This window comes from Homo sapiens, chromosome 1 (assembly GCF_000001405.40).
Source record: "Homo sapiens chromosome 1, GRCh38.p14 Primary Assembly".
Classification (NCBI taxonomy): Eukaryota; Metazoa; Chordata; class Mammalia; order Primates; family Hominidae; genus Homo; species Homo sapiens.
This window is the reverse complement of record NC_000001.11, coordinates 44196679-44222130: the sequence shown is the minus strand read 5'-3', so window position 1 is coordinate 44222130 and position 25452 is coordinate 44196679. Positions and strand designations below refer to the sequence as shown.

Here is a 25452-nt window from a genome sequence, read left to right as displayed (position 1 = left end):
ACACACGAAAGTGCCGGCAAAGTCACCCTGGCCATGGGTGTGATGAATGGTCGCACAGTAATGAAATGGAGACATCAAGGCGGGTGGCGGGAAGACGGAGTGTGGCGGACGGGCCGTCCCCACGCGGCAGCAACAAGAAGGATCGCCCAGCGGCCGGGGGCCGTCAAGGGAGAAATTACACATTTACTCTGCCTTTTTCTTACTGCGACGGCGCCCATACATCACCGCTGGGGCTGGGGCGGGACATGCCGGCCAATTTCCAGCATGAATTATGGAACTGAGAAGCATCGAGACCAGGCTTCCTGCCGGCCCAGCATCACCCAGACCAACCTGAAGCTAGGAATGCTGCCACCAGGGGATGGGACCACCCTCTCTAAAGCCTGTGTCTCCTGAATCTGACCCTGCTTCCCACCCCCACCCTTGTAAGAGCACCTGTGGGCATGGAGGGGAAGGATCTGGGGCTGATCTAAATGTCTTCTCTCCTTTTTAGACGACTGCAAGAACATTGCCAACATCATGAAGACACTCGCCTATCGAGGCTTCATCTTCAAGCAGACATCGAAGCCGTTCTGATTGGCCGAGGACAGGATGGGGCAGGACAGGGTAGCTGTTTGGCCCAGCCCAGAATCCTCCTCTCCCTCACCAGAGGGGAAGAGGGAGAGTGGCATAGCTCTGTGTCCAGAGTGTCCCCAGCTGCCCTGTGGGCTCATGCCCTTGGCGTGGGCTTGTGCCCTTGCAAGGGCTTGGCCACTTGGCCCTTCTGGAGCAGACACTTTGTGCCCCCCATCCCCACCCCTCAATCTCAGCCCAGTATCAGCCCCTCCCATTGCGGGCCTGGGCTAGGGGGACCCAGGCACTCACCGCCTCCTCCCTGGTACACAGGCTTCTGTGGGGCCACCAAGCCCCTCCTGTGCCCCCTCCCATCCATAGTGCATGGTGTGTGGTGCCCCCAGGGCTCCAGGACAGATCAGGCCCCACCTTGTGTCTACCCCCATCCCCGCTGTGAACGTGCCACTGAATAAAGTCGGGGAAACGAGGCACTGGGTGTGTGTGCAAAGCCATCTGTGTGTGTGAGGCTGCTGCTGCGCCAAAGCTGTCAGGATGTGAAGGTAGGTAGAGCATGCTCCAGACTGCCTCTGTGCACAAAGCCATCCATGTGTGACTGGCCGTCACTGCAGCACCTGTGACACCCTCACTCAATATGCACACATCTGTGTAAGCGCGGCGACTATCAGTACAAGCTGTGTGCAAAGCCATCTTGAGTGTAAACCACAGGTGCTCTGAGGTGCAGGAATTTGGGTGAAACTGGTAGTGGTTAGTGGTCAGAGAGCTGCTAAGGGCCTGAACACAGGCAAACCTATCTGCCACGCTGTGGAGTGGCCGTGACAATCCCCTCCTTGCCCACCCTTCCCACTAGGGGCATCAGAAGTGAAGGAAAGGAAAAGGAAGCAGCCTGGTCCAACTCAGCAGCTCTATTTACATAACAGCGTCGCCCACACCCCGTGGGGCCTCTCACGGCTTCTTGGCTTTCTTCACGGAAGATGAGCTGGAGGCCGACTCCCGTCGCTTTCTCTGAGGATACACAGAAGGCATTGAGGTCAGTGACCCCCCAAGGCCTGAGTCAGGCTTAGTGCATGTGCTTCACACGCTCAGGGACAAGGACGCCCACTGGTCAACCCACTCCTACCCTCAGTCTCAGACTCGCACAGAAGTGATGATCGTTCCTGCTGCAGGCACTAGAGGGAGAGGAGCCCCTACACCCATGTGCATGTGCTCACTCGCAGGGCCCAGGCGTGCCTCCCAGCCTGTCCAGACTCTTACCGAATTGGGCGTGAGGGGTGCGCCCACCACATCAATGATGGTGTCCTTGGGGTCAGGACCAAGTCCGGGTTCAGTCACTGCCGGCTCAGCAGAGGCCGGGCCTGGGCCTGATGCTGGTGTGGCAGGGCCCCCTAGCACACCAGCCCGGGCCAGTGCCTCATGACGGTGCCGCAGCATCTGCAGCTCATACTCGCAGTTGGCACAGGCCTGCTTGAGCTCGTAGAGCAGCACCAGGTCGCTTCGCAGCTCATTGAACATGTGCACCAGCTCCTCCGTAGGTGTCGGGCTCAGCTCTGCAGGCAGGCGGCAGGCAGCACGGGCAGAGCCCAGGTGTGGTAGAGGGCCAGCAATGTGAACTCCCCTCCCCCTGCCCAACCTATATCCACAGCCTCGGGTGGGTACACCCTATGGGGCCCAGTCCCCACACTCACCCACACCAAGCTCCAGCAGCATCTGTTCCAGGGCCTTGATCTTCTTCTGTCCCACAGAGCTTGGCAGCTTCATCTGCAATGAAAGCTGGCAAGCTAAGCCTGTCCCAGCCACAAGAGGCTTAGGATGAAGGGGACAAAAGGCAGAGGGAAAGATGGTGGAAGAGAGACGGTAACACATGGAGGTTAACTATGGGCCAGAAAAGGAAATAGCCAGGAAGCTGAATATAGTGAAAGCTGCTATGACCTTAGCCTGGCCACATCACTGAGATCCTGCCAAGGCCACCTCTGTCTGCAGCAATCTCTCCTACTGCTCCATCCCCACCTGCCTGCAGCGTTTGGGACACATGGAGCCCAGAGCAGAGCCCAGGACCCAAACTTGCTAAAGGAGGTGACTCACGTACCCGTTGGCTCCGCAGCGTGACACCTGCAGACTTGAAGTCTGGAAACTTGATGCCTGCAGTCTCAGGAACAGCCTGGGGGAGAAGGCATTATGGAGACCAAGGTGTCACAGGGAGAGGGCCCAGGGTTAGTCCTAGCACCCCATCAGCACTGGGTACTCTCAGAACCCTCCACTCGGGGTGAGGCCTTGTGCCAGGTGACCCTTCCACCCTGAGCTAGGCTGGCGGAACCTCCGCACCGGCTTCTCAGCCTCCTTTTTCTGGGGTAGCTTCTTTTTGGGGGCCTTGCGTTCCGTGCGCCGCTGCTCTGCAGTGGTGTCTGCCGCTGTGATCAGCTTCTGCAGGTCCTGGCTGCGTTTCTCCCGCTCCTTCTTCCGGGCCTCAATCTTGCGCAGCTCCTGTAGCAGGTACTCCTCCTCTGCCACCTGGGAAAGTGAGGGATGCGAAGTGTGTGAGGGCACTTCTAGGAGTGAGGGTAGACACGGAGGTGACAGGGTGCTGGGCTGTCTGTGAGGGAATCTGAGAAGTAATGGATCATGAGGGAGGTGAAGGGCTATGAAAAGCAGGGGGGATGGCCCATGAGAAGTAGGAATGGGCTTGGGGCAGTTAATAAGGTATCAGTGGGAGGCAGGGGGACCTGGGAGTGGGAGTTGAGGGGATGGAGGATGGAGACAATGAGCAAGGGGTTTGGGGCATGGAGGACAGGTATGTGGCCTTGGGCTTACCTGCTCTGGGGTCCGGTTGTAGAGACGCTCAAGCTGTTCCTTCCGCCGTCGTTCGTGCCCAGCATCAAATACTGGTATCTTAAGGTCTGTGCCTGGCACAGCCCGCACGTTGGCAAGCTTAGCACAGATGTGGTAGTACCGCTCCTTCAGGTCTTCCACAGAACGCTTCTGAGGAGCAAGACAGGGTAGAGGAATGAACATTCAGGGGCATGTGGAAGAGATGGCATAAAAGTAGGGCCTGCTAGACCCAGAAGCTGGGCACCCATGCAAATACACAATGGCTCACCTTGAACTGCTGGTGGTCATACCGGTCATGGATAACAACAAAACGCAGGTCAAAGCGGCGGCTGAGGTCAAAGAGGTGGTCAGTTTCTGCCTTAGTCCAAGCATCATCGTGGAGATAAAGCTGGTACTCCTGCTCCGAGTACACAGGCACCTGCACAGTCTACTAGCACAGAGGGACACAGTAGGGGCATGCCCGCATGATGTCATGTCCAGCAGGCTCCAGGCCCCAGTGACCACAGCTGCTCCTGTTTGTTGCCAGACCCTGGGCCTGTGCCCCTGCAGCATGGAGTGAGGAAAGAACTTGTCTGCTTGACTAGAGGTCCTAGCAGGGTTTGGGACTGTAGCCTGCCTCTGATTTATTCCAGGATCAACTTCACTGTCTCCAGCTCCAGAGCCTCAGTCATGGGACACACACTCCTGCCCCCATAGTTAAGGTGAGGGGCCCACATGTAAGTGCTTCTGTGGAGTCCAAAGGTCAACTCTGGAGTAGGACAGATGGCTAATTACCTGGAGAAAGGCCCAGCAACCCCTAGTCCATACAACTCATCTGAAGCACTACTGCCACCCAGTGGGCACAGTGGGACTTGCCACTCCCCCAGAGTTTGCCAAGGTCAGGCATCTCTACAGAAGCTGGGCCTGAATCCTACTACCAACATACGCAGCCCTGCCAATGCCCCTTCCTCCCTTCTTCCACAGACCTCCCCCAGAGACAAATAGCACTACCACGAGCTGAGTCTGTCAGAGACCCAAGGAAGGAGTCAGTGCTAGACTACATCAGGGAAGTCTCTCTTCTCAGTTAAAGACCACAACCAGCTCCAAAACTGGTCGCCTTTTGGACATCTCCTACTGGAGGCCCCAAGGAACCTCAAACTTAGCTCAGTACTGAACTCATGGCCCTCTCTCAAACATTATCTTCTCCAGTCCAGATTTCAGTCAATATCACCATCACCCAACCCAGCTGCTCAAGCCAGAAACCTGGGAGGCATCTTAATTCCTATCTTTCCCCTTGACTCCTCCCCTTCACCAAATCTGTGGCTTTTACCTCCAAAATTTCTGTCTCCATTGCCACTTCTCCGTCGGCCTACCCACTGTCACATGCCTGGATCAGAGAAATAGCCTCGCTACTGATCTCTGCCCACATTCAATCCGCTTCCAATCAATTCTCCATCTGCAGCTAAGACGTGATCTCTTTGAACAGTGCTACTTAAAGGATAGTCTGCAAACCAGTGCTGTTTACACTTACCCCTGGTCTATGATGAGAATGGAAACTGAGAGTACACACTGAAAAACTTACGTAACAATTTTACAGCAATTGTATGCTGTTGAATCTAATATGAAGAAACATGGACTTGTATTTTGTCTTTATAATTTTATTATCTTTATCAGTCTCTGATGGTTTAGAAATAAAATAGAAAAATGTCCTTCACCACAGATGATTTGAGACACACTGTCCTAGTGTTCTAGAATATATATCTTATCATTACCCCCAACTATCCCTTATTAAACTCCTCAGAAGCTCTCCATCTAAGATAAAGCATCTTCTAGATAATTCACAAACTCCTGAAGAGCAAGGGTTGTCCAGTTCATCTCGCACCTTTAGGACTCAGCACACTGTATGTATCAGTGTCTACCAAATCAATTAATGAACATACAAATAAATGACCTGGCCTCCTCCTGCAGCCACTGTCCCTCATGAACCCTAAACTGCAGCCAAATGACTAGCAGTTTCTAGAACATAGCAGACTTCCCCCTTGACCTCTGCTCTTGCCTGAAATGCCTTCCACTTCCACATTCCTTCTACCTAGGTAACTTTCTCAACCTTTCGAGCTCTCAGGCATCATCTCCTCTGGGAAGTCTCTCTGGTTTCCCAGGTTTGGTTACATATTTCTCCTATGCATTTTAATTCAATTTAACTAAAAAACAAACAAACCAACAACTCAGGGCCATGTGCGGTGGCTCACGCCTGTAATCCCAATACTTTGGGAGGCTGAGGTGGGCAGATCACTTGAGCCTAAGAGTTTGAGACCAGCCTGGGAAACATGGTGAAACCCAGTCTCTTAAAAAAACACAAAAATTAGCCAGGCATGTTGGTGCATGCCGGTGGTCCCAGCTACTCAGGAGGGTGAGGTGGGAGGATCGCTTGAGCCCTAGAGGTGGAGGATGCAATGAGCTGAGATCACACCACTGCACTCCAGCCTGGCAGACAGAAAGAGACCCTGTCTCAAAGAAGGAAAAAAAAAAAATCCTCAGGAACTGTGCAGCCAGTCCTCTCAAGTAGCTCATAGTCAAGTGAGGAAGACATTTTTTCATTCATTCAACAAATATTTACCATGGGGCTGCAATACCTATGCTGGAGACACAGTGCTGCATATGACAGGCAGGGATCCTAGCCTCTCAAAGCTCATACTGCAGCTGAAAAAACAATTTTGGTACCGTGTGGGAAGTTTGATACATAGGGTATAACAAGTGACACTCCAGCCCAGGGACAAAGATTGGTTAGAGAAGAGGTAAATGAGGCTTTTAGGATCTAAGTCTAGGCTATTCCAGGCCGCAGCAGCTGTGAGGCCACACTGTACAATGACTTAAGTAATGGACTAGGAAACCTAGCCCAATCTAGCTCTGCCTCTCACTGAATGGGTGAGTCTGGGAAGGCCGTGCTGTGCTGAGCTACACAGGTAACTCAGCTTGGACTAGGGGGCTGGCATAGTGATGAAGAATATAGTCAGAGATGTGATTTATTATGGAAAAAGAATCAACAGGACTCAATAAATAGATGTATCACTGGCATCCAGCTCAAATGCCACGTTCTCAGACCCTCCCTGACCAACCTAAGGTAGGACTCCCCTACACCTACAAGTTCACTCTTTATCTCATTTCATATCCATTCAAATCCTGGTTTCGTGTTACTGACGGCTCTTATTTGAAAGACTCCAATTTATTTCCTTACATGTTTGTTGTTTGTTTTCCCCTACCTTCTTTGTTCTGTTGTTGATTTAAATACTGTGAGGACTAAGGGAGAAGACTAAGTCAAGGACGATCCCCCAAGTTTCTGGTTTGGGCAACTGGGTGGAAGATAGTGCCATTCACTGAGATGGGGAACAGATTTGGGACTGACAGAGGGAAGATGATGAGCTCTGTTCAGGGTACCTACCTGATGTAAGGTACCTGTGGGGCATTGAGAAAGAGATATTAGTAAATGACTGGATGCGAAGGAAGCACTGCTCTGGATTGGTGACTTGTAGAGAGGGTAACTGAAGCCACAGGGTTCATACTAAGAAAGTAGAGAACAAGAAGACTAGAGCACCTAGGATACAGCTCTGAGGAACAGCAACATTTGAAAGACCAAGAAAAGCCATGAAAAACCAGAGCAGGTCCGGGAAAGAACAGGATCCCTTGGGCAGAAAAGACCCACAGAGTCCTACTCTGCATGCATTTGCCACGAGGATTGAGTGGGTAATCACAGTTGGGCATAAGCGTGCCCCCAGAACCAACCCTAGGAGACTGGAGAGCTCGCACAAATGGCTCAAAGTGGGAGGGCAATCTTGGCCTGTGTCCGAATGAAGGTAGCTTACCTTATTGAACCTGGCAAAGGGGTAGTCCTTGCCCTCCTCCGCTGCACGTCGCCAGTGGAAGAACATTGCTCCGTCCTTGCGGGCCGGGTTGGTGAATGGCATCCACTTCCAAGGCCGCACCTTCTTGGAGCCCAACTTGGCCTTCACTGTACGGTATCCCTGGCCAGTGTCACTGGGTAGCAGTGGGGGTGCATCCCTGGCAGGGAGGTTTAGGGAGATGCGAGGTTAGAATCAGAAGGTGTGTTAAAGAGCTTTTTGTCCCAGGGAGCTGATCTACCCTACCCTATAGCAAGAAAGTCATGTCCTGGAGCAAAAGACTTCAGGTCCTCCTGCATCCTGCTAAGCAAGCAGGAGCCCTTGCTGGGGAGGAGAAAATTGTTAGAGAAAACTAGGAGTTAGGGGCATGGCAGGTGAATCAGGGGCCAAAACCTGGGGGACTTGGGACTCCAATACTTGCTTCTTGTCAGAGTAGAGCAAGGCATAGACTTCCCGGTGCATGCCCTCGGGCCTCTTGAAAGTCAGTGTCTCAGAGGACTTCTTGGATTTTTTCTGAGGAAGGAAACCACAGAAAGGAACCACAACCTAGACCCTTTCCTGAAAATTCTTTAGTCCAGCTCAATCCCTGAACAAAGCAGCACCTACAGGGTCAATGACAGGCAAACTGACACACTGTAAAGGCACAGAAACCCACTCCCAGGAACACCATCCTACGCCCAAATCAGAGCAGTCCCCTCCCCATCCCACCAACTCTCAGACTGTTACAATGTCTTGATCTCTCCCCAACAATATCTTGCAAAAATCACACTTGCCTGGTCCTCTCAGCTCTTAGAGGTGTCATACCCTCTTGGTCCCACCATCTCCCACGATGTCCCATCTCCTCCCTCCCATCAAGGATGACACATATTCCCTGTCCTGTTATGTCACCCCTTTTATCGCCCAACTCACTGTAAGTGTAGCACCCATCCCTTGCCCGTTGTCACTCCTCCCCATCTTCACTCCCCTACCCTCCCCTAGTCAACGCTTTCAGGTGCCCCTGCTACCTTGTCCGGGTTGATAATGTCCTTCTTGCTGATGGTCCCAGAGGCTGCATCCCCTTCTGGACCCCCGAGTTCTAGAATGTCCCGTACATCCGCGCCCGTAGCCATCGCGCCTGAGAGATGGGGGAGCCACCGGAGGTCAAGGGTCAGTGCCTGAAGAAGGACCAGGCTCAGGTCAGGGGGCGGGGCCAATCCAGACCTAAGCGGAGGCGAGTTGAAGGGGCGGGCCAAGAGGAGAAGGGTGGTCCAGGTCAGGTCGGGGATCTGCCTGTGCCCCACCGCTTGGATGTTCCTAACGGCCCCTTCAGCCACCTGGGCCCTCGCACTTCCGCACCTGGGTCCGGCAGCTGCAGCCCCCACTACCACTCCCCCGTCCCCGCAAAGCCGCGGCAGAAACTTCCGGCGGTGCTCATTCGGAACGCGGCCGACAGAAACACTTCCGGTCGGTGTTGTAGGAAACGAAGCCGACTGGCAACCGAGGGTGAAAGCTACTGGCCGTGCTGAGCTTGCCACCCTTTGGTTCTCCCGCGAGCCTGTTTTCATTGGTGCACTGCCTGCTTTCTGGCATTTTCCCTCTACGATGCTCCGTTGCGTCTCAGGCAGTGAAGAGATACCAGAACTTTGTGACTTTGGGAAGTCACTTAATTTCTCTGGACCTTTTTCTTTATTTGCCGAATGGAAATTGTAATGGCACCTGTGTAAATGAAATACCAAGAATCCTTGTAAAACATTAGCACGGTGCGTGGGACATTTACTATTTTTTTATTAAATGAGTTAATGATTTGAATTGCCCCCTCTTCATTAAGTGCTAATATGTACTAGGCACTGTGCTAAGCTTGGAGGTGAAGAGATAAACTTCAAATTGTGATAAGCTTGAAGATGAAGAAATAAAGGCAGAGCTTCCTAGGGCGGCTGCCAAAATGGAGTAAGGTGTGGGCCCTCATTTGCACCTCCTCTGATGGAGATAGCTGTGGGTTGTGGCCTCGTGGGGATTTCCTGGAGGCCAGCTTCGTGGCACTTCACTAGTACAGGAGCTAGCTGCACTCTTTGGGCTACGAAGAAGCCCAAAACACAGCCCCAAGCAGGAACCAGCTTAGAAGTATCCCTCAAGGGAATAAACCTGGGGATCTTCCTGGAAAGAGAGAGACAGGAGGTCCTGAGGAAGGGCACAAGGGACAAGGAAAGCAGCTCCCAGCTTCAGCAGTCTGCAAACCAGCCTGTCAATTTGAAGGACACATAGCCTGTGGGATAGGGTGGGGCTTGTTAAGGCATTAAGAAGGCCAGACCCCAAGTCGAGACCTGCCAAAGATACCAGCAGGGACTAGAGGAGCAGACAGTTTGCGCAAGTTAGCTATAAGTGGTGTAGCCTGTTCTGGCCTGGAGAAGACAAGGGGATACAACAGCTGTAGCCACAAGCCTGACTAGTCCCCAAAACTTTGGAGAACTAGGCCTGGAGGTACAAACCTGTTCCTGGGTCTGATTCCTGGATGGATCCACTGAGCTCCAAACAGTTGCCGGAGGAAGTCACAGTCTTACAGCAGAAATTGTCCACAGGGTAAGGAAATGGTCCTTGGAGCCAGAAAGGGAGAGAGCAATTGGCTGCCTGAAACACTTGACCCTAGTTGTAGTTAATTAATTGTGTAATTACTTGTTTAATATATATCTCTAATAGACTCATTTCTGTGAAGACAGGGATCACAGTACATAAAGGAATGTATGTGCCAGGCACTATTCTAGACTCTGGGCATGCAGTGGGTGAACGAGATACAAATAGCTACTGGTGGAGCTTATATTTAGTGGAGAAGGAGAAACACTAAGGAAATAGACAATAAAATTGATAATGTAAGTTTTGATGGTAACAAGAGCTAGGAAGGAAATGAAATAGAGCGATGGGATGGAGAACTGCTTTCCATAATCTGGTCAGGGAAAGTTAGTGGTCTCTCTTTTTTTTATAAATGTGTATATACATAGAAAAAATTCTGGAAAGGACTAAACTGAAATGATTCCATCACTTGTTTTTATCTGGCAATTTATATTTTCTATACTTTCTATAATGAATGTGTACCTCTTCTATAATAAAAGGAAGGAATGAAGGGAAGAAGGAAAGGAAGAAGGAAAGACAGGCAGACTGTGCGCTGTGGAAGGTGGACCAGGCCAGAGTTTAGGAGACTAGAGGGCAGTTGTGACTATCTAGGTTAGAGGTGTTGGGAAACTGAACTAAGGTTGTAGCAGTGGCAATGGATTCCAGATATTTAGAGAAAGATGACCATGTTATCTGCAAATAATGACAAGTTTATCCCCTCCTTTCAATTTATACCCCTTATTTCTTTTTCTTTTAGCATTTTCCAGTACCTCCAGTAATTGGTTAAACAGCAGGTGTGGTCGTGGGCATCCTTGTCTTTTTCCAGATCTTAAGGGGGGCGCATTTAAATTTTTTCTATTAAACATAACATTTGCTCCAGGTTGTTTGTATATACTCTTTCCCAAATTAAGGAACATTCTTCTTAGTTTTCTAAGAGTTATTTATTCCTTAAGGTGATCATCTTTAGCAAAAAAAAAAAAATGCTTTTCATCAATTGATATCAATTGATATATTTATAAGAATTATCTCCTTTAGTCTACTACTGAAGTGTATTAACAGATTTTGTGATGTTACATTTATGGAATGAAATCCATCTGATCATAATACATATGTAAAGAAGGTATACTTTTGGGCTTAGCTAGCTAATAGTTTATTTAGGATTTTTAAAAAATCAATTTATAACTGAAATGGGCCTATAATTTTCTTTTCTTTTAACTATCCTGATGTGATTTTGGAATCAGAATTATGCTTGTCTTCTAAAATGAGTCAGGAACCTTCATTCTTTTTCTACCCTTTGAACAATGCGCAACACACACACACATACATTTTAGTTTAGTAGAAATGACCTAAAAACCCTCAGGCCTTTTTTTGTTTGGGGGCAAAGGGAGTCTTTAAGGATTATTTTAAACACTTATTAGTCTATCTCTTCTTGATTTCAATATTAGTAGTTTATATTTTCCTCACAAGAATAGCTAAAAGTGAAAAGACTGACAATACCAAGTGTTGGTGAGGATGTGAAGCAACAGAACTCTCATACATTACTGGTGGAAATAAAATTATTACAACCACATAGAAACATTGACACTATCTACTAAAGTCAAACATCCATATCCCTGATGTCACAGCAGTTCTACTCCTAGGTATATTCCTAAGAGAAATAAGTGCTTATGTTCACAGAAAGACATATACAGAAATGATCATAACACTGTTATTCATCATAGTCCCAAACTGGAAACAATTCAAAAGTCTCTCAAAAGTACAAATAAATTATAGTATAGTCATACAATGGAATACCACAAGCAATGAGAAAGAAAAAAATACTGCTACATGCAAGGATATGAATGCATCTCACTGACAAAATGTTGTATGAAAGAAGAAAGGCACAAATGAATACATAATGTATAATTCCATTCATATGAAGTTCAAAACTAGACAAAACTGATCTATCATGATAGAGATCAAAACAGTGGGAGGGGCACCAAGGGGGAGAAGGCATGAGCCTCTTGGAGTGTTGGGAATGTTCTACATCTTGATCTGGGTGATGGTATATGGTTACATACATTCCTATGTAAACATCATTGAGCTGGCACCTTTAAGAATGTGCCTTTTATTGTATGAAAGTTATACCTCAATAAAAAGGAAGCAAGTATTAAGCATATAGGAAATAATTGATAAATTTGACTATATAAAGGTAAGTTACAACCCTAGGGTTAACAGAAGTTAAATCTTAAAATTTAGTGTTTTGTTGACCAAACAACAAGGAGGTCTCTGTGAATAAATTAATACCTTCCATTACACCTATGTGAATAAAACTTGACAAATAAAACAAAAATCAGGCTAGGTGTGGTGGCTCATGCCTGTAATCCCAATACTTTGGGAGGCCAAGGTGGGTGAATCGCTTGAGCCCAGGAGTTCAAGACCAGTCTAGGCAACATGGCGAAATCTCATTTCTACAAAAAATACAAAAATTAGCTGAGTGTGGTGGCGCACACCTGTTGTCCCAGCTACCTGGGATGCTGAGGTGGGAGGATCACCTCAGCCCAGAAGGTTGAGGCTGCAGTGAGCCGTTATGGTGCCATTGAACTCCAGCCTGGGTGACAGAGCAAGACACCGTCTCAAAACAATGACAGCAACAAAACATCTGATCAAATCAGAAATCACTAAACAAACTTAGATGGGCAAATCTGTGCTTATGAATGGTAATAGACCCCAAAGAGGGACTGGAGCAAGACTGACATCTTTCTCTGCCTGTATTTTGAGTAGACTTGCAAATCACATCCCTCAATCAGGGAAGAAGTGAAAAAAAAAAAAACAAGCACTTTGTTCCTGGAGATAAACAAAACAATACAAAAACAGGGCCACACTGAATAGTTCTAAACCCAAAATAAATGAAAGCTTAATTCTTTCCAGTACCTTACTACTGATGCTGTAGCAAAGACAACTTTATTCCCGATTTTTGCAATGCTGATCTCCAACAGAACTCTCATAATTTTGAGAGAGAATTGCTGTTTTTCCGCCATGAACAAATTGGTAAGTTTGCTTATCTTTTTTATGTTGTATTTATTATTTGGTTAACCAGTCCTTCTAAAGTCTGGACTTTCTTACAGACTTTTTTTTGCAAGTCAATTATTTTGCTTTCCAAACTAAACTAAGTAAATAAAAATTAAAGTAAGAGATAAAGTGCTGCACCTTGCTCCACCCACCTTGAAGACAGAATTACAAAAGTTGGTGGTCCTCTTTGGATTTGGAGGCATATGAACAATATTTGATCATGCTCTGACTCATTTACAAGGTAACCTATCAGTTTTGAGAGGGGCCTGGCTCAAGAAGGGGTTCTGTGTGACATCCAGGTCACCGTGCAAGATATGCTGCCATTTGGGACTGATTATCCAACAGACCCAATGATATTGGAAGTATCTGGTGACAAAGATCTCATGTATAGTCTCTGGCAATCCTAATAGCAGAATCACAGCACAGCCACCCAGAGTTCTGAAGGCTATAATCTCACCTATAAACAACTACCACTGCTTAAAAAGCAGTTTCTCTTACCTGGTGCAGTGGCTCATGCCTATAATCCTAGCACTTTGGGATGCAAAGGCAGGAGGATTGCTTGAGTCCAGGAGTTCAAGACCAGCCTGGCCAATATAGTGAGACCTGTCTTTACTTTAGAAAAAGAAAAATTAGCCAGGTGTGGTGGCATGTGCCTGTAGTCCCAGCTGCTCAAGAGGCTGAAGCAGGAGAATTACTTGAGCCCAGGAGTTTGAGGTTGCAGTGAGCTATGATCACTCCACTGTACTCCAGTCTGGTTAACAGAGCAAGACCCTGTCTCAACAACAACAAACAGGCAGTCTCTGGCTTACAGTTGGGCTCTTGTAGAAACTGAATGCCTGACCATGAGACACTAACTGGAACTGCCCAGCATGAACTGAGAATTATCCAATTCACTGAACCATGAAGTTGGGGGTGTAAGTCAACAATCCATTATTAAATGTAAGAGATATGTTTGAGACCTTCCTTCCTTTCCATTATTAATATTTAAAGCTATAAATTTCACTCTAATCACTTCTGTAGCTGTACCTTGCAAATTGTTACATTTTCATTATCATTCTAATTTTCCGTGTGCCTTCTTCTTTGTTTATTTTATTTTTATTTAGAGCAGGGTCTCACTCTGACAGTCCAGACTGGAGTGCAGAGGCAAGATCATAGCTCACTGCAACCTTGAACTCCTAGGCTCAAGTGATCCTCCCACCTCAGCCTCCTGAGTAGCTACGACTACAGGTGCACACCATCATGCCAAGCTAATTTTTAAAAAACATTTTTCGTAGAGATAAGATCTCGTTATGTTACTCAGGCTGGTCTCAAACTTCTGCCCTCAAGCAATCCTCCTGCCTCAGCCTCCCAAAGTGCCAGGATTACAGGTATGAGCCACTATACCCAGCCTGATTCAATCCTTTTAAATTTATGGAAACTTGTTTTATGATCCAGCATATGGTTCATTAGTGAATATACCAAGTGTACTTGAAGGTGTATCAGCCAGGCACAGTGGCTCACGCCTGTAATCCCAGCACTTTGGGAGGTCAAGGTGGGCCTTGAGGTCAGGAGTTCAAGACCAGCCTGGCCAACATGGTGAAAACCCGTCTCTACTAAAAATACAAAAATTAGTCAGGTGTGGTGGCGCATGCCTCTAATCTCAGCTACGCAGGAGGCTGAGGCAGGAGAATCGCTTGAACCCAGGAGGCAGAGGCTGCAGTGAGCCAAGATTGCACCACTGCACTCCAGCCTGGGCAACAGAGCGAGACTTCGTCTCAAAAAAAAAAAAACCAGAATGTGTATCTTGGTATTTTGCAATTGTTTGGTGTAGGGTTCTGTAAATGTTAATGAGGTCAAAATGATTGATAATATTATTCATATCATCTATGTCTCTATTGGTTGTTTTTTTTTTTTTGTCTATTGTTCTATCAGTTGCTGAGGGGGGTTAAAGTCTCCAACATGATTGTGGAATTGTCTCTCCTTTCCTCCCTTCCTTCCCTCCCTCCCTCCCTTTCTTCCTTCCTTCCTTCTTTCTTTTTTTTTTTTTCTGAGACAGGGTATCTGTTGCCCAGGCTGGAGTGCAGTGGCATGATCTTGGCTCATTGCATCCTCCAACTCCCTGGGCTCAGGTGATCCTCCCACCTCAGCCTCTTGAGTAGCTGGGACTACAGGCACGCACCACCACCCATGGCTAACTTTTTTTAGATATTGGATTCACCATGTTGCCCAGGCTGGTCTCGAACTCCTGGGCTCAAGCGATCCGCCTGCTTTAGTATTTAGTTCTTAGTTATATTTTCTAGGAAGTACAAGTAGCCAAAATTGTTCCAAAAAGAGTTGGAGAACCAGATAGAGCAATAACCATAGAAAAACAAGAATGAGCTACAATTTTGAAAGGTAACAGGCTGAAAATTATAAATAGGTGAGTTCTATTTGACCTTCAAGTAACAGATTATTGTTAATTCGAGTCAACTTTATTTTATTTATTTATTTTATTTTATTTTATTTTATTTTATTTTATTTTATTTTATTTTATTTTATTTTAGATGGAGTCTCGCTCATTGCCCAGGCTGGAGACCAGTGGCGCGATCTCGGTTCACTTCAACCTCAGGTTCATAGTATTAGTATTACATAATACTATGTATATAGTAGTATTTCTCTTTTTATGTTTGGGTTTTGTAAGGTGAAGCAACTTGTTCTCATGGGGGAACATTGTGACATATCCTATAACACTAGACCTCCAGAAACATCACTGAGATGTGTTTTCATGGGATTTGCAGTTTGTTCTTCAGTGTACCTGGGGGATTGTCTCCAGGACCCCCATGTATACCCAAATCCATGCATACTCAAGTCCTGCAGTTGGCCCTGCAGAACCCGTGCATAAGTGGACACGCACAGTTCAAACCCGTGTGTTCAAGGGTCCACTGTACTTTATCTCAGTGAATCTAAGTTGCTTTGACCCTAGTGCGTTCTTGATTTACCGGAAGGTGTCAGAACTATCACCTCTATTTCCTCCTGCTGACAGTGATTTTAAGAAGTCATCCATTAGCCACATCAGGGGAAGAGGAGCCATTTCTGCTGGCAAGAGAGAGGCTCAAGAGGGTAGAATCTGGGATGGCCTGAGTTATCTAAATGCCTTCTTTTCTGATCAGTGCCCCCAGCATTCACATGAGAGACCTGGAAGTGTGTGAATTTCACTCATATTGTGCTACAGCAATTATTGGTATCACATTTTGAATTTCAATTCCAGCTATAATCAGCTCCATGACTGCAAGAGATAAATTATTTTTATCATACACATAGAAAGTCAATGATCTGAGACTTATCTTGAGCCAAATTTTAGGGTATTGAGCTCTTTTTTTTTTTTTTCAGTCTGACCAGAATAGTTAAAAGAAACCTCTCTTCACTGCACAGTTCACAAATTCCCTCTGCCCCCACCCCCCATCAAATTCTGAGAAAAATTGCTTGGTTCCCCCAAAGTTTTGCCTTCAAGGAATCTGTCATTCAGTTAATAATCAATTGCAGGTGATAATCTATTCTCTGCAAGCCAAGGGCTATCTTTAAGTTCAGCTAGATTTTTACTGCCCAAACCTAAATACCAAATCCATGCCTTTCTGATACCAATTCCTGTGTCAGCTACAAGTCATAGTTCTTAGTTATATTTTCTAGGAAGTACAAGTAGCCAAAATTGTTCCAAAAAGAGTTGGAGAACCAGATAGAGCAATAACCATAGAAAAACAAGAATGAGCTACAATTTTGAAAGGTAACAGGCTGAAAATTATAAGTAGGTGAGTTCTATTTGACCTTCAAGTAACAGATTATTGTTAATTCACGTCAACTTTATTTTATTTATTTATTTTATTTTATTTGAGATGGAGTCTCGCTCATTGCCCAGGCTGGAGACCAGTGGCGCGATCTCGGTTCACTGCAACCTCAGGTTCAAGAAATTCTTCTGCCTCAGCCTCCCGAGTAGCTGGGATTATAGACACCTGCCACCACACCCAGCTAATTTTTGTATTTTTAGTAGAGACGGAGTTTCACCGTGTTGGCCAGGCTGGTCTCGAACTCCTGACCTCAAGTGATCTGCCCGCCTCGGCCTACCAAAGTGCTGGTACCAGTCCATGGCCTGAGGGTTGGGGACCCCAGCTCTAGAGCATATTAGTTAAAATTGTTCTCAACTTATGAAAATAGCGTAATATAAATACCAGAGCCTATCAAGAGAGCCTTTGAAGAATATGTAATTCTCATCTTATGTAAATTATTTAAGAAAGTAAGGGCTGGGCACAGTGGCTCACACATGGATTGCCAGCACTTTGGGAGGCCGAGGCAGGAGAATCACTTGAGGCCAGGGGTTCAAGACCAACCTGGGCAACAAGGCAAGACCCTGTCTCTACAAAAAAAAAAAAAGTAAAAATTAGCCAGGCATGGTGATATGCACCTGTAGTCCTAGCTACTCAGAAGCCTGAGGCAGGAGGATTGCCTGAGCCCAGGACATGGACACTGCACTCAAGGGCAACAAAGTAAGACCCTGTCGAAAAAAAAAAAAGAAGAAAAGAATGTAAGAAAAGATGGAATGCCACCCAACACAATTTACTGACTAGTATATACTGAAACCAAAGCCAGACAACAGAAAAAAAAAAGATCTCATTTATGAACAATAAAACAAAAATCCTGAATAAAATGTTAATAAATTAAATCTCGCATGGCTGGGCACAGTGGCTCATACCTGTAAGGCCAGCACTTTGGGAGGAGGGAGGATTGCTTGAGGCCAGGCATTTGAGACCAGCCTGGGCAACATAGCAAGAGCCCACCTCCACAAAACTTTTTTTTTAAACTTAGCCTGGTACGATGGCACACATCTGTAGTCCCAGCTGCTTGGGAGGCTGAAGCAGGAGGATCACTTCAGCCTACGAATTGGAGGCTGCAGTGCACTGTGATTGTGCCACTGCACTCAGCCTGGGTGACAGAGCAAGACCCTGTACCAAAAATCAACAACAACAAATTAAATATAACAGTATATTAAAAGAACAATTTAGCCAGGTGCGATGGCTCATTTCTGTAATCCCAGCACTTTGGAGGGCCGAGGCAGGTGGATCACTTGAGGTCAGGAATTTGAGACCAGCCTGGCCAACATGGTGAAAACTCATCTCTACTAAAAATACAAAAATTGGCCAGGCATGGTGGTGTGTGCCTGTAATCGCAGCTACTCAGGAGGCTAAGGCGGAAGAATCACTCAAACCCAGGAGGCAGAGGTTGCAGTGAGCCAAGATCGCACCACTGCACTCCAACCTGGGTGACAAAGCGAGACTCTGTCTAAAAAAAAAAAAGAACAATTCATGAAGTCTAAGGAGGATTTATCCCAGCTTTGCTAAGATGGTTCAGCATTAGAATATATATACTTATTAATGATGTAAACATAAAAAACCCAATTATCTGAATAAATTAAATGCACATTAATAATATAAAAGAAGAAAAAATATCCTAGCAAACTAGGGAAAAATGCTTAATTGATACATGTTTTGTTTTTAATAAAACAATGATAAAAAACCTACAGCAAATGCCATAGGTAATGGTGAAACAATAGAAGCTTTCCAACTGGAGTTAGAAGTAAGATGAGAATGTCCTTTACCACTACTGTTCAGAATGGTACCAGATGTTCTCTCTAATTCAAGAAGAGAAAGAAGGCACTAAGAAGCATAAACATTAGAAAAGAAGAGGCAAATTGTGATTATTTGCAGATGACACTATCGCTTATATAGAAAAACCTAAAAAAATCAATTGACAAACCATTAGAACTAATAAGAGGATTCAGCAAGGTGACCACATACAAGATCAATGTACAAAATCAATAGCTTTCCTATATAACAGCAATAACCAATTAGAAAATGTAATCGAAAGTAAGATCCCATTCACCATAGCAACAAAAACTATTAAGCACCTAAGAATAAACCTGAAAATAGAATTTATTTGAAGCCCTTGGGAATAGTTCAACATTAGGAAACCCAACAATCTAATTAATCACATCCATAAAATAAAATTGAAAACCACAGGCCGGGTGCAGTGGGTCACGCCTCTAATCCCAGCACTTTGGGAAACCGAGGTGGGAGGAGTTCCTGAGCCCAGGAGTTCAAGACCAGCCTGGGCAACATGATGAAAATCCATCTCTACAAAAAATACAAAAATTAGTCAGGCGTGGTGGTATACACCTGTAGTCCCAGCTAATTGGGAGGCGGAGATGGGAGGATGACTTGAGCCCAGGAGGCAGAGGCTGCAGTGAGCTGAGATTGTGCCATTATACTCCAGCCTGGGTGACAGAGCCAGGCCCTGTCTCAAAAAAAAAAAAAAAAAAAAAAATGAAAACCACACAATTATATTTTACAGCAGTAGTGAAAATTCCAGAACCATTTCTAGTAAAAACACTAAGTAAAACAGGAGAAAAAGAACATTTCCTAATCATGATAAAGAGTTTTGTGTGTGGTTTTGTTTTCAGACACTAAGAAAAAAACGTATTAACTGGCTAAATATTAAAGGCATTGCTATCAAAGACAAAAACAATGCAGGGACCATCACCATCCCTCAAAACTGTTTTGTGTAAAAATGGAACAGAGGATTTGACAAGGGGAATAAAAGCTTCATATAATAGAAACTTTTCCAGGGTTTGCCACGTGTCCTCTCTATAAACAAGACTACTTTGATTTTATATTCCACATAGGATGGAAATTGAAATTTCACCTTTCACCCAGAGACTGAGGCTGATCAAAAGGGTGTTTCCTCCTTTTCCCTATCAAAGCCATTGCCAAGCACTCACACTGCTCTTGTCCTCTGATTGAAGGAAAGAATGTTTAATTGTCCAAGAAGTCCTAAGACCCAGAGCTGCTTTTGCTTCTGTGGCAGTGGGGTCTGACGCGAGATGGGTGCCTGAAATGCAGCTAAGAACCTGTGCGCATAGGCTGGGCGTGGTGGCTCACACCTATAATCCCAGCACTTTGGGAGGCTGAGGCGGGTGGATCACCTGAGGTTGGGAGTTTGAGACCAGCCTGACCAACATGGAGAAACCTCGTCTCTACTAAAAATACAAAATTAGCCGGGTGTGGTGGCACGCGCCTGTAATCCCAGCTGCTTAGGAGGCTGAGGCACGAGAATTGCTTGAACCCGGGAGGTGGAGGTTGCGGTGAGCCGAGATCACGGCCTTGCACTCCAGCCTGGGCAACAAGAACGAAACTCCGTCTTAAAAAAAAAAAAAATTCTGTGGGCACAAACAGCTGCCAAAAAAATGGGGATGAGGTTGTGATTACTTTCTCACGCTCAGAAATTGTAGGCACGTTTTGAAATCCTGTCACTCTTACCTTGTTCTGTACACTATGAGCTAGGCTTGTTCTTTTTTCTTTTCTTTTTCTTTTTGAGAAAGGGTCTAGCTCTGTTGTCCAGGGTGCATAGAGTGGGGCCATCATAGCTCATTGCAATTTTGAATGTTTGGGCTCAAGCAATCCTCCTGCCTCAGCCTCCTGAGCAGCCAGGACTACAGGTGTACACCACCACACTCAGCTAATTTAATTTTTTTTTTTTTTCATAGAAACAGAGTCTCACTATGTTACCCAGGCCGGTCTCAAACTCCTGGTCTCAAGTGATCCTCCCACCTCAGCCTCCCAAAGTGCTGGGATTACAGGCATGAGCCACCGCACCTGACCAGCTTATTCTTTAAAAACAAACAAACAAACAAAAGCACTGAGATGGGTTCTAAACAAAGTTGTCTGGGGGTCTTTCTAGCAGGGGGTGACCTGAAGTTACATGTTTTCCTCCCGTCTCTAGGCAAGAGCACACACACCTTATTCTAGAGCGAAAGGCCAGAGTACGCTGGAGAGAATAGGGGAGTTGCTTATATCCCTCCATGTCCCCTCATGGAAACTGAGTACCGGAGAGACTTTTTCTATTTTATAAAATGAAGTGTTACCTGATTCTAGAATGACAAATAAAGCCAACTGAGATCTTTAAAGAAAATTGTTGTGGGGATGAGATTCTAAATAAAAAAAGGAAAAAAGAAGAGTGCCACCAGTTGAGTTCCTTGGAAGCAGACTCTGAAACAGATCAGCGTGGTGAAAGTTTATTAGGGCGTACTCTCAGTATCAACACCTGTGGAGGGAAAGAGAAAAGCATGACTGGGCAAAGGGGGAAGTGTGACAGTGACTGAAGTCCCAATAAGGCCTTACTTGATCCCATGGGTAGACTGACCCTTCACAATTGTCCCCAGATGTGATGAGGAGCCCAGGCCCTTATCTTCCCATGTCAACCAGTCATCAGATGTGAGCAATCCTGAGAAGGAGGCTATTCTTAAGTAAGGTAACTCTAGTCAGTGAAACAATTTTAGCTTTCAGCTGCTGGGGAGACAGATCCATGTGGCATAGAACCCACCAAGCAAAGTAACAAGGAAAGAAAAGGAAAAAAAAAGATGCAAGTGATTGTTTCAATAAACCAGGGGACAAAATATCCCCCACAAACCTTAGAATATGAGCTGGTGCAACCAAGCTGCAGAAGGACCTGTGGAGTATCATCAACAGTGAAGGAGGAGGCACAGAGAAGCCGAAGGCTGAATTTAGAAAACACCAGCAAGTATTCACCTGCGAAAGGAAGGAGCCCACTCAGATTGGAGACCTTGGCTGGTGAAACTGAGAACAGTCACAGCTGGAGGCAGCTATGCAGGTTCTGGTTTTCAGGTGAGTACAATGGGAGTGCTGGAAGGCTTGAGGGAAGCGGGGCAGCCTGGGTCCTCGGTGCTCCAGAAAATCTCTAGAGAGAAACCTGAAGCCCTCACTCACTGAGGAAAATCTAAGTGAATAGTGTACAAATAGACCCGGACAGATAGTCTGGAGATGAAGGAGAAAGAAGGTGTAGAGGCCGGGCGCGGTGGCTCATGCCTGTAATCCCAGCACTTTGGGAGGCCGAGGCGGGTGGATCACGAGGTCAGGAGATCGAGACCATCCTGGCTAACACGGTGAAACCCCGTCTCTACTAAAAATACAAAAAATTAGCTGGGCGTGGTGGCGGGCGCCTGTCGTCCCAGCTACCCTGGAGGCTGAGGCAAGAGAATGGCGTTAACCCGGGAGGTGGAGCTTGCAGTAAGCCAAGATTGTGCCACTGCACCACAGCCTGGGCGACAGCGCAAGACTGTCTCAAAAAAAAAAAAAAAAAAAAAAAGGAGGTGTAGGTACCTGTTGGAAACAGAACAAGAGGGATACATATCCAAGACTATTGCCAAGGTGGCTACGCTGAGCAAATATATTTCTTTTTTTTTTTTTTTTGAGACGGAGTCTCGCTCCATGCCCCAGGCTGGAGTGTAGTGGCGTGATGTTGGCTCACTGCAACCTCTGTCTCCTGGGTTCAAACAAATCTCCTGCCTCAGCCTCCTGAGTAGCTGGGATTACAGGTGTGTGCCACCACACCTGGCTAATTTTTGTATTTTTAATAGAGACGGGGTTTCACCATGTTGGCCAGACTGGTTTCGAACTCCTGATCTCAGGTGATCTGCCCACCTCAGCCTCCCAAAGTGCTGGGATTACAGGCATGAGCCACCTGATCAAACATATTTCTTAAGACTTCAAGGTAACAACAGAAAAGGGATCTGTAGCACCATGAAGCTGGGGAAGTTATCCTGGCCCAACGCCACTCCAGTACGGGAACATTCTCCTGAAAGCACAGGGAAACCAATCTCACTTAAACATGAGCAACAGAAAAATATTTTGGTTAAACCTCATAGAAATTGTAAGAAAAAATAGGATAGCAATAATAACATGCCTACAGAAATGAAGCAACCAGAAGAATATGGCCACAAAGCAGAAGACTGTAATGTAATTTTGTTTAAAGGCAGAGTCTTGCTCTGTCACTCAGGCTGGAAGTGCAGTGGCACAATCACAGCTCATGGCAGCCTTGGCCTCCAGGGCTCAAGGGATCCTCTCACCTCAGCTTCCTAAGTAGTTGGGACCACAGGCATGCACCACCACGACTGGCTGATTTTAAAAAATTTTTGGTACAGACAGGACAATATGTTGTCCAGGCTGGTCTCAAACTCCTGGCCTCCAGCAGTCACCCCGCCTTGGCCTCCCGAAGTGCTGGGATTACAGGCGTAAGCCTCTGCACCCGGCCTGTAATGTAAGATTTTTAAATGAACAAAAGAAATTAAGAAAATAATAGAAGCTATGAAAGAGTGATACAAATTTAACAGTTTAAAGCTCACTCAGAAATAGAATGGGTAGGCAATAAGAAGACATAAAGAGAAAACAGAGCTTAGAAAAGAATTAGAAATAACAGAAAAATGTTTCAGAAATAAAGACTAAACTGGAAGGAACAAAAGAGAGAATAATAAATAGCACTAAAAATTACAGTAAATAGAGGATGGAAAGGAGAAAAAAGAAAGGAAACAAGGCCCACGCCGGTGGCTCACGTCTGTAATCCCAGCACTTTGGGAGGCCAAGGCTGGCGGATCACTTGAGGCCAGGAGTTCCAGACCAGCCTGGCCAACACAGTGAAACTCCGTCTCTACTAAAAATACAAAAAAATTAGCTGGGCGTGGTGGTGCATGCCTGTAGTCTCAGCTGCTCGGGAGGCTGAGGCAGGAGAATCACCTGAACCCAGGAGGCAGAGGTTGCATTGAGCCGAGATCACACCACTGCACTCCAGCCTGGGTGACAGAGCAAGACTCTGTCTCAAAAAAAAAAAAAAAAAAAAAAGGAATCAAATGAAAATTAAAGGAGAAATAAGAAAAGGTTTGAGAGAAATGGTAGATATAGAGGGCAGGCAAACATGAAACATGATTCAGAATGCATGTAACAGGAGAACTTGAAAAAGAAAGTCAAAGCAATAAAACAAAGCAGATGCTAAGAACTGTAATTCAAGAAAACATTCCTGCAATATAAGAAGGTACATTGAAAAGGCATATCTCATAGCTGATAAAATTAGCCCAGAATGATCAATGCTGAGACATATACTAATAAAAGTATTGAACTTCTCTCCATTGCTCTTAATCACAGGAAAAAAAATTACTGAACTTTTTGACCTTTGGGCAAGAACTTAAAAAAAAAGAAAAGAGGCGAGGCATGGTGGCTCACACCTGTAATCCCAGCACTTTGGGAGGCCAAGGTGGGCAGATCACTTGAGGTCAGGAGTTCGAGACCAGCCTGGCCAACGTGGTAAAAACCCGTCTCTACTAAAAATACAAAAAATTAGCTGGGTATTGTTGGGGGCACCTGTAATCCCAGCTACTCAGGAGGCTGAGGCAGGAGAATTGCTTGAACCCAGGAGGCCGAAGTTTCAGTGAGCTGAGATCACACCACTGCACTCCAGCCTGGGCGACAGAGCAAGACACCGTCTCAGAAAAAAAAAAAAATGAGATTTTCATCAGAGTTTTCAATGGAAACACTTTATGCCAGGAGACAATGAGGTGACATGCTTAAAATATTCAAGAAAATGTAAGCCATGCATTTTTATCCAGCTGAGCTGACCATACAGTACAAAGGCCATAGATAAACTGTTATGAACATGTAAGAACTCAGGAAAGATTGTTCCCATGAGATTATTTCTGAGGAATCTACTAGAGAACAAGCTTCAGACATCAAGAAAAACCTGGATATGCTTCAAAATGAGGATTAGTGGTAAATATTGAATATATTTAATTGTAAAACTAAAAGTAAATATTGAGGAGAAAGGTGACAGAATGGTATATAATTGTTACATGTGCTGACAATGTAGATAAAGTGCAACCATGACAAACGGGGGAAGGCCAGGTGCAGTAGCTCATGCCTGTAATCCCAGCACTTTGGAAGGCCAAGGTGGGAGGATCACTGGAGGCTAGGAGTTCAAAAACAGCCTGGGCAACATAGCAAGACTCCATCTCTACAGGGAACCAACAGACCATTATCTTTAAGAAGATGGAAAATGGTATTTTGCAAATGTATTATTTTATTTAATTTATTTTTTGAGATGGAGAATTGCTCTGTTGCCCAGGCTGGAGTGCAATGGCTTGATCTTGGCTCACTGCAAACTCTGCCTCCCAAGTTCAAGTGATTCTCCTGCCTCAGCCTCCAGAGTACCTTGGATTACAGGCACCCATCATCATGCCCAGCTAATTTTTGCATTTTTGTAGAGACGGGGTTTCACCATGTTGGCCAGGCTGGTCTTGAACTCCTGACCTCCAGTGATCCACCCACCTCAGCCTCCCAAAGTGCTGGGATTACAGGCGTGAGCCACTGTGCCCGTCCTGCAAATGTATTATTTTAAAGGTAACAGAACAAAATATTAAACTCCCTAAATCCCAAGAGCAATATTTTTTTAAGGGCTAGAGAATGAGAGACAGAAGATAGATGACCATGTAGTAAAATACTCCATGATTGAAAAAACAAGCACATGGATTGATTTGTATCTATATTATAAACGAGGCTAACTCACATATTATATGAGAGTATTTTCAAGTTGTCAAAGCAAAGTCTAGCTCTATGCTATGTACAAGATACACCTAAAACAAATAAATTAAGAACATTTAAAAATAACAGGAAGGACAAACACATACTAGGCAAAAGGTAAAATA

General features: G+C 45.8%; 2 protein-coding genes across 19 annotated transcripts in view, besides 6 other annotated features; one reads left to right on the top strand and one right to left on the bottom strand.

Moving 5' to 3' along the window:
• ERI3 (ERI1 exoribonuclease family member 3) overlaps positions 1-1061 on the top strand; it is a 134210-nt gene extending 133149 nt beyond the window's left edge. For all 16 annotated transcript variants that reach the window (XM_017002305.2, XM_047430152.1, XM_047430144.1 and 13 more), the window contains one exon: positions 491-1061. In XM_017002305.2, the coding sequence (XP_016857794.1) occupies positions 491-573 (83 nt within the window). In that variant the 3' untranslated portion in view covers positions 574-1061. The remainder of the gene's footprint in view (positions 1-490) is intronic.
• Positions 1278-1327: a silencer, noted in NCBI's record as "silent region_808". NCBI's record gives its function as "represses an Ori minimal core promoter by ATAC-STARR-seq in GM12878 lymphoblastoid cells {active_cell/tissue: GM12878}" and the evidence as "EXISTENCE:reporter gene assay evidence [ECO:0000049][PMID:35858748]".
• Positions 1458-8660, bottom strand: DMAP1 (DNA methyltransferase 1 associated protein 1). Of its 3 annotated transcripts, none has more exons than NM_001034023.2 (11): positions 8604-8660; positions 8273-8422; positions 7690-7781; positions 7233-7428; positions 3662-3820; positions 3376-3543; positions 2890-3075; positions 2654-2725; positions 2253-2325; positions 1822-2114; positions 1458-1572 (listed from the first exon to the last, which is right to left on the bottom strand). In NM_001034023.2, exons 2-11 carry the CDS (start codon positions 8375-8377, stop codon positions 1513-1515), a joined length of 1404 nt encoding a protein of 467 aa, NP_001029195.1. In that variant the 5' UTR covers positions 8378-8422; positions 8604-8660; the 3' UTR covers positions 1458-1512. The 3 variants fall into 3 exon arrangements, with proteins under 3 accessions (NP_001029195.1, NP_001029196.1, NP_061973.1); NM_001034024.2 differs by having other exon boundaries at positions 8273-8382; NM_019100.5 differs by having other exon boundaries at positions 8273-8660.
• Positions 6815-7314: an enhancer, noted in NCBI's record as "H3K4me1 hESC enhancer chr1:44680489-44680988 (GRCh37/hg19 assembly coordinates)". NCBI's record gives its function as "activates a minimal SCP1, AML or CMV promoter by ChIP-STARR-seq in naive H9 embryonic stem cells {active_cell/tissue: H9 hESC(naive)}" and the evidence as "EXISTENCE:reporter gene assay evidence [ECO:0000049][PMID:30033119]".
• Positions 7315-7816: an enhancer, noted in NCBI's record as "H3K4me1 hESC enhancer chr1:44679987-44680488 (GRCh37/hg19 assembly coordinates)". NCBI's record gives its function as "activates a minimal SCP1, AML or CMV promoter by ChIP-STARR-seq in naive H9 embryonic stem cells {active_cell/tissue: H9 hESC(naive)}" and the evidence as "EXISTENCE:reporter gene assay evidence [ECO:0000049][PMID:30033119]".
• Positions 8560-8854: an enhancer, noted in NCBI's record as "tiled region #23; HepG2 Activating DNase unmatched - State 1:Tss, and K562 Activating DNase unmatched - State 1:Tss". NCBI's record gives its function as "activates a minimal TATA promoter and a strong SV40 promoter by Sharpr-MPRA in HepG2 and K562 cells {active_cell/tissue: HepG2 | K562}" and the evidence as "EXISTENCE:reporter gene assay evidence [ECO:0000049][PMID:27701403]".
• Positions 8582-8821: an enhancer, noted in NCBI's record as "active region_937". NCBI's record gives its function as "activates an Ori minimal core promoter by ATAC-STARR-seq in GM12878 lymphoblastoid cells {active_cell/tissue: GM12878}" and the evidence as "EXISTENCE:reporter gene assay evidence [ECO:0000049][PMID:35858748]".
• Positions 9252-9351: a silencer, noted in NCBI's record as "silent region_807". NCBI's record gives its function as "represses an Ori minimal core promoter by ATAC-STARR-seq in GM12878 lymphoblastoid cells {active_cell/tissue: GM12878}" and the evidence as "EXISTENCE:reporter gene assay evidence [ECO:0000049][PMID:35858748]".